General features: G+C 37.3%; 1 protein-coding gene across 15 annotated transcripts in view; it reads left to right on the top strand.

Moving 5' to 3' along the window:
• Positions 1 to 14,189, top strand: part of CHD6 (chromodomain helicase DNA binding protein 6) — a 216,295-nt gene that overhangs the window by 131,873 nt on the left and 70,233 nt on the right. For 14 of the 15 annotated variants that reach the window (NM_032221.5, XM_047440549.1, XM_047440545.1 and 11 more), the window contains 3 exons: positions 1,898 to 2,153; positions 2,986 to 3,196; positions 12,988 to 13,183. In NM_032221.5, the coding sequence (NP_115597.3) occupies positions 1,898 to 2,153; positions 2,986 to 3,196; positions 12,988 to 13,183 (663 nt within the window). Of the gene's footprint in view, positions 1 to 172; positions 270 to 1,897; positions 2,154 to 2,985; positions 3,197 to 12,987; positions 13,184 to 14,189 lie in introns of those variants that run through there. The other variant, XM_011529082.3, reaches the window with a different exon arrangement.

The following is a 14,189-nucleotide window of genomic DNA, read 5'->3' as shown; positions in this document are numbered from 1 at the left end:
GGCTTGCATCAGAGCAGTGAATAATCAAACTTAATTCCTACATTTGCCCTATCTATTGATTTTCAAAAGCCAGCTCTAACCTTCTCTCCGTTTTTGGACCATTAGAAATGCATCCTCTTCTCCCATTGCACTTAATTTGTGGTATGCATTTTTTCTTCTTCCTAGACAAAAGATCTCCTTGAGGACAAGGCCCACATCTTCTCCCAAGTTGTGTTTGTTGTATTGACCAGCACAATGTCTGGCATATAGTAAACTCTAAATGATTCAAGGTATGAACCAAGAGAAGGGCAAAAGCTGAACCCAGCATGTGGCAGATTGACATTTGTCCCTATCTTTAACAATCAGCTAGCTGTGTCTTTTCTCTTTAGGTTCTTATATAGTAATTCCTTACCCATATGGGGGATTCGATTTCTAAGTACCCTTGGTTGGTAAAAATGAAAGTCTCATAAAAAGATTAAGATTGGAGTTAGGTAGGAGAAAACCATAAAAATGACATCAAAACTTCTTTTTAATATTTATATATAACAATTTAATTTTAAATTTTTTGGCTTTATTTTTTTAATCGACAAAATATGTATTTATCACGTACAATATGTTTTGAAATATGTATACATGGTGGAATGGCTAAATAGAGCTAATTAGCACATGCTTTTTGTGAGAACATTCAAAATCCACTCTCAGCAATCTTCAGAAATACTGTACATTGTTATTAACTGTAGTCACCATGTTGTTCAGTAGATCTCTTGAACTTATTCCACTTGTCTAACTAAAATTTTGTATCCTTTGAACAATACCTCCCTACCCCGCCCCACCCCCCAGTCCCTGGTAACCACTACTCTAATCTCTGCTCTATGAGATGTCTGTATTTTAAAACACAGTAAATAAACGTTCTGGAAAGCATCTGTTTGCAAAATAAAGCATGTTCATCATTGTCTAAAATGTGCTTTTGTAAGTAACTCTTCTAAATCACTCTCTGTAAATCACTTTATATTTCTTCAGGAAGCAATCTCGCAGCACACAACTTGTTTATGCAGAGTCTACCCCTTTTAAATTTTTGAACAGCCGTTTCTGACTTGAAACGTGATTTCTTTTGCACTTTCATCTTCCCTTATTTTGTTTTACCATCAGAGTTAATCTTACCGGTATCATGTTTTAGCTCCAGGTTAACTCAGGTACTTTGACTTTGAATCCCTCAGTCTGTCATTGTCTCACTGGGAGGGGGAACAAGTCACCTTGCTGGTGCAGTCAGTTGCATAAAGATCTGCTGTCCAGGCCTGTGCTTTTAGGGGAAGAACAGACAAATTGTAGCAAAGAACACCATCAGACTTAAAGTGCCCCTGATGTGACAGATTCCATGATAGAGTAGATGTCACCTATAACATTAGTTCTTTACATACTGCTACACCCAAGCATGTATGCTGCTATTGTTACTTAAAAGGTATAGGAGGAATTGTTTTCCAGATCATCTCTACTTCTTACTCCATTCTCTCAGCGTCTAAGTTTCCTTGTAATATATCACTCATACCTCCGAACATAATTTAAAATACTCTTCAGGTAATTACTGTGCATGTGGTGTGTGTATTAGAGAAAGAATGACAGAGAGACATGTTTTCTCCATCCTAGAGAATAGGTACTCTTTTATACCTTTCTCCCTTTTTATCTTCTGAGATTGCCACTAGATTCTCAGTAATTGCTTGTGAATTAAAATCATATCCCTTATTCCCTTTCAGTACTATTATAAACTCTCCATTTTCAGGGGTCGATCATAATCTTTCTTTTAGTCTACTACCACAGTACTATGGGTAAATGTTCAAGAAATTAGAGTGAAGGTTGGAATACCCCAGTAATCGTTAACTTGGGATTGAGGCAGGTAACTAGGTCTCATTTCCCTGGACAGGTAAAGAAACTGCAGTCTATCCTAAAACCAATGATGCTTCGGCGGCTGAAAGATGATGTGGAAAAGAACCTTGCTCCCAAACAAGAGACGATCATTGAGGTGGAACTGACCAATATCCAGAAAAAGTACTACCGTGCCATCCTCGAGAAGAACTTTTCCTTCCTGACCAAGGGGGCAAATCAGCACAACATGCCCAATCTCATCAACACCATGATGGAGCTGAGGAAGTGCTGTAACCATCCCTACCTGATCAATGGTGAGTCAGGGGCACTAGGAAGTAACTCAGGACTGCCATGACCTCTGCGAGAAGCTAATGATAATCAAATAACTCATGTATTGAATTTTCATTATATGCTAGGATGTACGCATTCTCACCTTTTTACAGAGTATAAAACTGAGATTCAGAGAGCTTGATGAATTTGCCTAAGTGGTATAGCTACTAAGGACCAAGAGCCAAGGTTTGAACTTAACTTCTGCCAACAAGCTGCCTCACAGCATGTACTCTGCCGGGCAGAAGATGGATATCACTCACCAGTTTGCTGCCCTTTATTTGTTCAAAGTCTGGCCCACACTTTCTACTTGGGGACAGGGAAATGTGTTACTTAGTTGAATCAGTGAAAGTGCTGCAATGAGATTAAAACTCTCTGTAGACAAATTAACAGTTAACCAAACTAGTTAGAGAAAATGTTGGGAGGATTTTTTTTTACTATGAAACTTTTGGAGAAATTTTAAAATCAAAATGTGGCTTGGATTATCTTACAGTCTTTGTGATGTCAAGAGGTATGAAAGTCCTTCTTGTCTGGGAAGGTTTCTTTACTTGGGTGAGTCAGCTTAGGACTTGGTATCTCAGATCCTCTCTCTACTTGGTGAGACTTCCCAGGAGAGTGGAGCACCCGCATTCTCTCCTGCTGCCACTGCAGAGCCCTCTGCTGAAGGCACAGACCAAAGAGTGCACCCAGCATCTCCTCACTGGACTGCTGGTCTAGGACCTAAGAATTCACTTCATTTTTCCCAGGATCTGTAAAGCAGAGTACAACCTTTATCCTTATATTCTGTCCGAGGAATAGTTTTGTTCCATTCCTTTTCAGGAGCAGAGGAGAAAATTCTAGAAGATTTCCGAAAAACCCACAGCCCTGATGCCCCTGACTTTCAGCTGCAGGCCATGATTCAGGCAGCAGGAAAGCTTGTGTTGATTGATAAACTACTCCCTAAGCTGATTGCAGGTGGCCACAAAGTACTCATCTTCTCCCAGATGGTGCGCTGCCTCGACATCCTAGAAGATTACCTCATCCAGAGAAGGTGAGACTTGTGTCAAAGCTCTGCATTCAACAATGGGACAGTTCCTTTCCTTTGATATTTTTTTGATCCATTCAAAAATTTTGTTTAAACACAAAACATTCAAAAACGGAGGAAAGGAATCTCCTTTTAAAGATAGACTGAAATTCAGAGTTAAATTTTATGACCAAATGGACCCAAGTTTAACTGTCAAGAGTAAATTTCATGACCTATGATGTACAGTCCTTGCTTTGCTTAAAAAAAAAATTCCACATATTTATTTATATTCACTTTAGTTGGAGGAAATAATTCAAATAGCATTAGAAAGGGCTAAGAAAATAATGTATTTACATTTTTGTTGCTTAATAATGGTGAAAGAAATATATCCTGGAAATCATCACTATATCAAATTCCTGAAAGAGCATAAACTGGCAACTCACAGAGAAAGAATGTGGGGATATTTTATGTCCTTTCTCAGCAAGCCCTCTTAAGGTTTTATGATGCACTGGCTATGGCATCCCAATTTATTTTCTTGTTCATACTCTTAGAATTCCTTGAATCTAAGTTACATTCCTCATGCAAGTAAAAAGTCTGTGGTGCTGTGTGGGTTATTTGGATTCTGTATGGAAACTACATTTGTTACCTCATGTGTATTACTTTAGATTTTCCGTCATTGTGACACATCAATGATCTGAAGATGACAAATGAGTTTTTAAAAATTCATTCTTAATGATAAAAGACTTTCAAGATCATAGAAACTGGTAGCCTAGGCATTGCTAAGTCTAAAGAAAATCTTGTTTTCATAGCAAATCTCGGGTGTCTTAACAGATGTTCTTATTCTTTAACATTCTGTTTGCCCTTGTACATTACATGTACTTTATAGCAAGAGGATTAAAAGAAATGACAAATTAAACTATGGGTATGCTGACACTTAATGTAACATAAATGATTCTTCAAAGTCTGATTAGACAATAAAATAATTCCTCAGAGCTCTATAGGAGAGATTTCTATGTAAAGGATTCTTGAGACTTGTATTACATGAATAAATCAAAACTTGCAAAGCAGTTTTGTAGCTTTCAATTCACTATAGATTAGGAGCCTATTGCCAGAGCATTTGCTTCTTATATTATCTTACTCTTTAAAATATGTACAACTGTTAGTTTGCAGATTTTTAAAAAAGAACCCCCCAAAATGAGTAAAGGTGTATATAACAGACTTTTGGTAAGTACAGAAGTCTTTATTTAGCTCTCTTTTATGCTATTTTCTCTTTATTATTTATTGCTCATTTTGTGTTCAAATTACTTAAGATTGTAGTTTCTCTTGAAAATGCGGAAATAATGTAACACTACCACCTGCACAACTCCCCATTCATCTTGGGGGTTATCTTCTCAGTCTGTTTTTTTCTGCATAAATATGTTTAGCTTTATTGTTTGTTTGAATTGCAGTGCTGTTCTACATTGCACTTTGTAACTCTTATTTTTTATTTAATATATTATGAAATTTTTTTCTTTATTTTTCTACAACAAAATTTTAATGATCTATGTGATACTCTATTTTAAACATTTCCAATTTTTCAGCATTTTAAGGGACTCTATAAATGAATATCCCTTTAAAGTACTTAACGTTTTCATTATTTCTTTAGGATAAATGTCAGTGCACATTTTTAAAAACATTTGATACACTCAGTATTTCCAAAATGCCCTCTAGTTAAGAGTGTTTTATTTATATTCCTTTCCAAAATATCATATGAGAATGCTTTTTTCCATATTCTGATCAATATTGTTTTTACTTCTTAATCTTTGCTAATCCAGTAATTCAAAATTATTCTCTCTTTAATTTGTAATTGTGATTACTAATGAGAGTGAGTATTTTTTCATATTTGTTATTTATATTTCATTTTTGTGGATTGTGTATTCATGTTTTTCATGCATTTTCTCTTGGTCTTTGACTTTTTGTTTATTTATAAGAATTTGTTGCAAAAACTTTCCCCAGTGTTGTTTTTGTTCTTTAATTTTATTTATGAGTATGGGTTTTCATTTATTTTATTTTTTGATGTCCTAAATTTTATAATAGTCAAATCTTTGTCTTAAAACAACTTTAAATCCTTTTTTAGGCCTGAACTTAAGCTTAAATTAATGTGCTTTAAAAGGCTTCTCTCTCATCTTAACCGTGAGACCCATATAAATATTCTGAAGTGTATATATATATATATTTTTTTTTCTTTTTCTGAGACAATGTCTCGCTCTGTCACCTAAGATGAAGTACAGTGGCTCGGTCACTGTGGCCTCAAACTCCTAGGCTGAAGTGGTCCTCCCATCTCAGCCTCCTGAGTAGCTGGATTATAGGCATAGATCACCATACCCAGCTCTTCTTTTCATGTTTATGGCTTCTTCACCCAAGCTGCATCCAACAGGGTTCTTCTGGCCTTAATATTATCATTGCCTTTCTCTTTTTAGTTTAGTTTTTATTTTCATTAAAGTTGTATGTGCACATAATTTAAAGAGCCATATCATTCTATTACACTTAATGAAAAATTATTTGCTAATTCACTCTCTACCTTCCCCCAGTTTCTCATATCCCAGAAGCATTTACTTTCAACTCTTTATGCTATTTCTTTTGGTATTTATAGCTGTATCTAAATAATGATATTAGTTGTAATTTCTTGATATTTTTCAGTTGTAGGTATTATCCGTTCTCACTGTGGAAGATGAATGTTTAGCCTTCTTTCACTGCTCCTCATACCGTCATGTATACAACTTCCTGTCCTCTCATCTTCCCAGTATGCCACATAATACTTTGAGTTAGGTTAATATTTGTTGTTTATTATGACTTAGGAAAATGTGAAATTACAGCTGAGTTATGTCATGTGCTGTTTACTTTTCATTTTTGTACAGTTTTTATTTTCTCTGAAACTAAAAATTATCTTTTTGATTGCTTATTTTTCTATACACCTATTATAATTCAGCAGCAAACTTTACCCTGGTTGTCTAAATCTCTGGTTATGTTCCAACACATCAGTTTCCTCTTCTCTAGGCCATACCTTCTGGGGCCTCCTGACTTCCTCCTCCCTGGCCTGTTGCTGTTCCCCACAGAGTACACAGTTGTCAGCTGTGATCTGCCTTGTTTCTCATGCTGACAGCTTTCTTTTTTTTCCTCTTAAATCAGATCTTCTTGTTGGTGGATTCCATGTTGGAGCACCTCTTCCAGGAGCTCCTGAGAAAGGGTGAATGATAAGTAAATTTTGAGACATTGTCTGAAAATGTTTTACTCTGCTCTCATTCTTAAGGAATCTATTCGCAGGATTTGAGATTCTAGGTTGTAAATCATTTCCCTACAGAATTTTGAAGGTGTTAATCCACTGTCTTCTAGCTTCCAGGGTTGCCATTGAGAAGTTCGAAGCCTGTAGGATTCTTAGTCTGTGTATGTGTTATGTTTGTTCTTTTTAGAAGTTTTTATGTATTCTCTTTGTCCCCAGTCCTATGAAATTTTACAGTGAACTGCTTCATTGGTGCTGGATACTAAATAGATCTTTCCCATCTGAAATCTAAGTTCAGATGCTGGGGAATTTTCTTGACTTTATCTTTCATTATATTTTTTAATTTCACAGAACATTTTTTGTAATTTTTCCATTTTTAATAGCACTGGTTATTTCACAAGTACAGTGTCTTCTCCTGTCTTTCTAAGGCTTATCAGGATAGAATTTTTTTATCTTCATCTGTTTTCTCCAAGTCATATTTTTTCCCATTTGTTTGTATCTGTCTTTCATATTAGAATTTTAGGTTCACTTTTTTTTCCTTTTCTTCCCCCTCCAGCTCTTTACAGTGTTAGTCCACTGTGCCCTGGTCCCCGTGGTTTCTTATGAAAAGTTCTGCAGTCATTCACATTGCTGCTCCCTGTGTGCAATACATTAATTTATTCTGGCTACTTCTAAGATTTTCTTTTTAATTTTTGGTTTTCAGCAGTTTAACTGTGATCATTGGGATTCATCCTGCTTACTGAGCTTCTTGAATTTGTAAATGTATGTCTTTCATCAAATTTGAGAAGCTTTTGATCATTATTTCTTCAATTTCTTTTTTGTTTTTGCCCCATTCTCTTGGTTATTTGTGAGACTAATTACCTGTTTATTTGACCTTGAGATAATTCCCCACAAGTCCATGGGCTCTGTTTTTTTAAAAACCCTTTTTCTCTCTCTTTTATCTGTCTTCAAGTTCACTGACTTTTCTTTATCATCTCCATCATGCTTATTAAGCACACTCTATGCTTTATTTATTAGTTCTAAAATTTCCATTTGGTTCTATGTTTATTAACGTTTTGTTTCTCTGCTGAGTTTTCTTTTCTTTTTATTCATTACTTAACATTCCTTGACTTCATTAAGCGTCAGCATAATAGCAGCTTTAAAGTTCTTGTCTGAATTATAACATTGTAGGTTTGACGTTGACATCTGTTAATTGCCTGTTCCCTTGAGAATGAGAATAACTGAATTTTTCCCTAGCCCTAGTGAATATTATGTTCTAGAGATTTAGAATTCTGTTATATTGCTCTGAAGATGTTGATGGGTTTTATTTGGAAGCAGTTAACTAGGTTGTGCTCAAAGTGCAAACTCTGTCAATGTGTCTGGTAGACAGTAGTTCCCATTTCAGACTACCACAATCAGGCCCGAGCAAGTGTGAGTCAGAAGTCAGCCAGAAACTTGGGCAGAGTTTATACCCAGAGTTTGGGGTTCCCATCTCTATTTCTCTGCTTTCTGGGGGTCCCCTCTCACTCTCTGGCAGTCTTAGTTGCCCTAGGTACCTTCCCCTGATGTGTGTCAGAAAGACAACAGCTTTTATCAATTACAGCTGATCAACACCTTGCCACCATAATTGTGGCCTCCCCTCTGGCTGAAACCACAAATTTCTATTCTTCTCCAAGATCTGTCTGCTTTTGTTAACTCGCCAGTGCCCTCAGGTAGGTTTTTCTGTTCATTCATTTTGGTTTTTATAGTTTGTCCAGAATTTGTCATTTGCTAGAGGGTTGGTGTGTTAGGACCTTGCTCCTCCTTACCAGAAGCAGAGGCTGTGTGTTTCATATCAGCCTCATGTCTGATATCTTAGGCCATCAGATGGGGGGGCACTGTGGAGCCAACCAGAAGCTCTGAGTATGTGAGCAAGGCTTGTTGACTGTGCACTTCACTTTCCATATGGGAGCACTGTGCATCTGGCTGGACCATTTTCATTGGGGACCCTTCTATATCAGCATTTTGAGGTCCTGTTCCTCTTACTCTCCCCTGCCTATAGGTGGAAACTTGACTGTATTTAGAGCTAATTGTGGGGGAGGGGTGAGAAAGAGTAAGGGCTCCCACTATCTCTGTCTCTTTTCCCCTTTTCAGCATGGTACATTCACTTTTAACTGTGGTTAGTATCTTCTAGAGTAGAGAGGATCAAGATCTTTTATTTTACCCTCTTCAAGGCTGGGGTAGGTGATCTAGAGGCTAAGTAAATACTTCAGCAAATATTCCACCAGTTTCCCTGTTTTTAGACTCTGCGTCCCTGCTTTCGGGGATACCTAGTGCCACCAATGTTTGATCCCGTCACGTGTTCTGCACTATTAAATTAGGTTGTGTCTTGCCTGGGATTCTGCCTTCTTCAAATCAAATACGACTTTCCAGATGCCAGAATTTTATCACTTCTGTTCTTTTGGTGGATTTAATTGGGGAAGGGATTATACCTTTTTAAAACATCCTTTACTGTCATTTTACTAGAGGTTTGGAGAGATCAAAGAATTAAATGTGTATGTTAAATTCATAATCTTTAACTGGATTATTTGATTTTTTTTTCATTTAAGTCTTTAGCCCTTCTGTAATTTTGGTAAATGGCATATAATCGAAGTCTTATTTTCATTTATTTCCAAATATATTGAATTTTCTAATTTTCTGTTTAGTAAAATAGTCTATTTCCCTGACTCATAAAATTCTATGAAATATAGGGAGATATTATGTATACTGGATAAATGTCTAGCCTTTCTAGTCTTTTGATCAGTAGTTTTATTCCTTTGCATATTTAATATTCCAGATGAACTTCAGAATTATTTATTTATTTATTTATTTATATTTAGAGACAGGGTATTGCTCTGTCTCCCAAGCTAGAGGGCAGTGGCGTGATCATAGCTCACTGCAACTTTGAACTCATGGGCCCAAGCAATCCTCCCACCTACTCCTCCTGAGTAGCTAGGACGATAGGCACATTGGCCACCATGCCTGTCTGATTTTTCTTTCTTTTTTGTAGAGGTGAGGTCCCACTATGTTGCCCAGGCTCTTCTTGAACTCCTGGCCTCAAGTCATCCTCCCGCCTTGGCCTCCCAAATTGCTGGGGTTACAAGAGTGAGCCACCATACCTGGCTTATTTATCTGTCTCTGTCTGCTCCAGCCCCTAACTCCAGAAAAATGTGTGTGTATGTATAGATGTATGTATACATACATACACATTTACATGTTTATATATACACATATATTCGTGTGTTGGGATTTTTTTAGCTTTTTTTTTTCTTTTTCTTTCTTTCTTTATTTTTTTAGACTGACATCTTTGCAAAATCAAAGAACATGCTTTTCACTACACTTAACTTGGGTCCTTCATATACACTATTGTCTCAGTAAATATTTGTAAAGTGTTTGCATTGTGCTAGAACCTCTGTAGGTATTACAGTCATAATGGTGAACAAAGCATGGCCCCTTAGTGTTATGTTACCAAGCCTTCATATTTCTTACTGAATTAAATCCTAAGTATTTTATATGCTTGTAACTGTTGTGAATGGTTTTTGGTGTTGGTTTTGTTTTGTTTTGCTTTTTTGGTTTTCTTTTTTTAAATTAACTCTTCATGTTTTCCAGTTGATTATTGCTGGGAGACCAGAAAGTTGTTCATTTCCCTTCAGGCCTTTCTAAAGTCAACATTTCTTGTGCCAAAAACATGTCAGTCTACTCCTGGCCAGTCACATAGAGGTTTTTTCCAGGGTGCCACCTGCTGCTTGTTGATACTTGATAGTATTTGATAGTGACTCAGAATTACAGTTTGAACCATATCAACTCCTAGGGATCTTGTTAAAAATACAGTTGTCACAGAGGGTTAATTGCTGTGCTGAAGTTCAGTGTGGAAAATTTTATGATGTCTGATTTCTTCATTCAGACTTATTAGCCCTCAAGGTTTTCTTTGTTCTTGAGCCTCTTTGCCTCTCCAGCTGTCAGTTTGGTTTTGTTCCCATTTAATTTCATGCCAGACTCTCACACAGGAATGAGGGCATGGCCAGAGGATCTGGCTCAAAAGTGAGGGAGGAGCTCAAATAATTCAATTTTTTTTTAAGTTTTGTGTTCTTTGAGAGCACTCCCTCAAAACTAAACAAGTGATAGAGAATTATTCCATTCATCTTGTTCTAAAAGTTCTAAAAGTGTTGTTACATTATAATACACAAAAACACTTATCTAATTTTATGGGAACGGTTTCCCTAGGTGATGGCTGAGCTGTATCATCACTATGTATTGATTTCCCCTCCCCCTTAAGGCTGTGCTAATTCCCAGCCTCACTCTGATCTATGTGGTATCTAACTCTGATGACTAGGGGTGTTTTTTCAAAGAGCATGGAGTCTTTTCCTGCAGCATTAATCATTCATATGTGTGTTGGTGGTGGAGGGTAGAGGGGGGGAAATGGCTGTTCTTTAATTGAATCTCAACCCTGTTTTTGACTCCAAGTATTGTGCTTCCTCTATTGCATCACATACATGGCTAAACTTCTGTAACTGTTACAGATCCTGAGCACTGATTTATCAAAAATGTTTTGATACCTAGTTATAGTTTCTGTTTCCATCTCCTGTTAGAGTTACAAGCTTCCAAAGTTTACTAGTGTCCCTTATGTATTCTCCATTTCTCTTCTTAAGTGTTTAGGAAAACCTTTCTGTCCTACTGCATTGAAATGTAAGGTACAGTGTGAAAGCTTTAAGTCAAATGGATGTGGGTTTAACTCACTTAACCAGCTAGATGACTGAGCAAGATATGTTACTTGTATGAATTTTTGTTTTGTTCTGTTTTTAGGTTTCCTAAGTGTAAAATGAGGATGATAATAGAAACTACCTCATAGGACTATTGTGAGAATTAAATGTAATGATGTGTACCAAGCATGTACCACAGGGTTTGGCACAGAACTGACACTTAAGAATTTGCTGCTAATATTATTATTGTGGTTGTTAGGAATAATGGTGATAATTAAATCTATAGAATTCAGACATCTAATCCTTAGCCTTTGTCTATGACACAAAATCTTTTTAGTCTGCCTTCATGACAATCCTATCACCACCGCCTGTTTCATTTGCTGCTGTAGTTCTCATTTATTATTCTTGAGTGTATTATAATTTTAAATAAAGAGGAAACAAAAAATTGTACCCTTAATTTTAGGTATGGTTGTATTGTGGCTTTATAAAAGGGAGACAGCATTTTCAGACTTGTTTCTTTGCTTTATACATGTCCCTTATAAGTCTGAGTTGGTCAGGTTTCTTCATGTACATTTCCTTGGGTGGTTTCTTTACATGGCTTTTTCTTTTCTTCAAGGAAGTCAAGATCATATTGCCAGATTTAGTTTTCCAAAGCCATCCTCACACAGAATTATCTACCCCTAGGTTATCTATCCTTATTTTCTTCCTGCTTATTTATGTAAGTTTTAGAGATCTGATTTCCCAAATTCTGGGCTGCTGATAGGATTTTGCCAGGATTCATGGTCTTGGCTGTTGTCGGTTTGGGGTGATTTGGTTCTTTTCTCACACGTTTCCTATTACTTCTGCTTCACTAACCAGTTCATGTTTGTGGGTCAAAATTGGGCCCAGAGTAACATCCCCCTTGTTAATTCATATGTTGTCAGGGGTAAATAGGAAAAGAATAAGACGCCCAGCAGCTGTCCAGATTGCTGCTATATCTTCTGTGTTAATCCCATGATCTCCAACGTAAAGGTCTCTTCTGTTTTCCCTCTAGATGGGCATGGGTAATATGTTCCCTTAACAGTTTCATTTCTTATTCTTTTTCCTTTTACCCTTACCTCTACCATGCACTCCACCCCTGTTTCTTGATTTTCCACACAGTTGTATGCCTTCTCAATGATACTCAGCTTTACTTTCCTACTTTATTTTCCTCTAACTATTCATCAGTTCCTTCACCCCACACACACACCTCAAAAACCTTTCCTGTGATTTATGCTTGGCAATGTACTACTGTCCAGAAGACCTTGGTTTCAGCTATAAACTTGGAGGTTTTGCTGTGTACCTCCAAAGCTTTGAGGAACTTGGTAGGCTAGAAGTGACATAAAAGGACTGCCTCACAGTTTAATCTTCTTACCATTTCTGGTTTACCCTAAAGTAGCTGGAAACTGATGAAAACTCTGAGTCCTTTTTGTGAGCACTACTCAAAGTAGATGGGAAAGGCTTTTGTTTGTTTTTCCTGGTCTTATGCTTAAATTTAAGTATAAACTGGGAATACTTGAGAGAATAAGTTGCTTGGGCTATGGGGATCGGTATTTTATGATTTAATTCTTCTAGTCCTTCTTAGTTTACAGCTGGTTTTTTTTTGCTTTGTTTTGTTTTTTTGTTTTGTTCTGTTTTGAGAGGGGGGCATTTTGCAATACAGTTTTAAGTGTCTGCCCTGCTGCATATGTAGGGGGCAGGATTCCTTCTAGACTGCTGTCATTTGGTCCAAATTTAGAAGTGAGGGATTTAAGGCCATCAGTCGACAGCTTCCTGCATTTTGTGCTGTTCTCCATTGAAGTCATGATTAACGCCTGGGCTTTCGTTCATTTGGGTCCCCTCAGATACACCTATGAGCGAATTGATGGGCGAGTACGGGGAAACCTGCGCCAGGCAGCCATCGACCGGTTCTGTAAGCCAGATTCAGACCGCTTTGTCTTTCTTCTGTGCACCAGAGCGGGAGGCCTGGGGATCAATCTCACAGCTGCTGATACCTGCATCATATTTGATTCTGACTGGAACCCACAAAATGACTTGCAGGTAACCACTAGGATGATTGCTGTTTACCTTAGCTGCCCTGGATCCCAGAACATCATGATAGGGCCTGGCTTGGCTACAGAGCATCCGTGATGCTCTATGCTATGGTGTCAGCTGGATGACAGGCTTAGGGCCTTGGTCAGGGGGTGAAACTGAATGAAAAGTAAATGTCGACCCTTCCAACTAATTAGAGAGTGTGGTTCTTTCCGTTAAATCAAATGATGTTTCACAGTGGTAGCCTCCAGATATAGACTAGAACTACTAATTATTATTATTATCAGAAATAAAGATACTAATCTTGACTAATGCTCTAATTCTTGATATGTAGACGATTCGGGCATTTTCACTCAGTTTGTTGGTTAAGATGGTCATGTGTCATGTACAGTAAACGAGTTAACCCAGAGGGGTGGGAAAGTTCCATGGTGTGGCAGGGGCAACAGTGGCAGCCTCACTAGTTCCTTTGTTCTCCACACAGTGCAACACATTAGAGTTTATATGTGTCCAGTTAAGTGGCTTTATGGATTCTATTTTCTGGTTTTAGCCAAACTAAATAACCGGTGGCTTTAAAAGATTACTGCAAAGATTGGAGTTGATATATTTTTTGAAAGCTAACATAAACAAGCAAGAAAATGGCAGGGTCCAGTTTGGAGTTCTTCATCAACCCTGTTTCAAAGTAAAAACAATGGCATTCTAACTATATGGGACGCGAAGTCAGCCAAAAAGATTCTAACTTGTCAATAAGACAATATGGAATATAGATTTACAGCCATTATCATTAATGAAGAACTTCATCTTAAGTGTATATCGCATATATCTTGAGATATTTACTAACACTAGGATTATGGGTATGTGGTGAAGAAGGTGGGTGGGTGGCTCAAAACCTTTTTCATAATACAGGTGATTGATCAAAAGAAGTTTGGAGGCTGCTGTTTGACAGGATTCAAGAGGTACTCTAGGGGATACTGCAAGAGAAGGGATGCAGGGAAGAGGGCACTAAGCCAATGGGTGT

Source organism: Homo sapiens, chromosome 20 (assembly GCF_000001405.40).
Source record: "Homo sapiens chromosome 20, GRCh38.p14 Primary Assembly".
NCBI lineage: Eukaryota > Metazoa > Chordata > Mammalia > Primates > Hominidae > Homo > Homo sapiens.
Note: the sequence above shows the minus strand (reverse complement) of the source record. Positions and strands in the feature narration are given on the sequence as shown.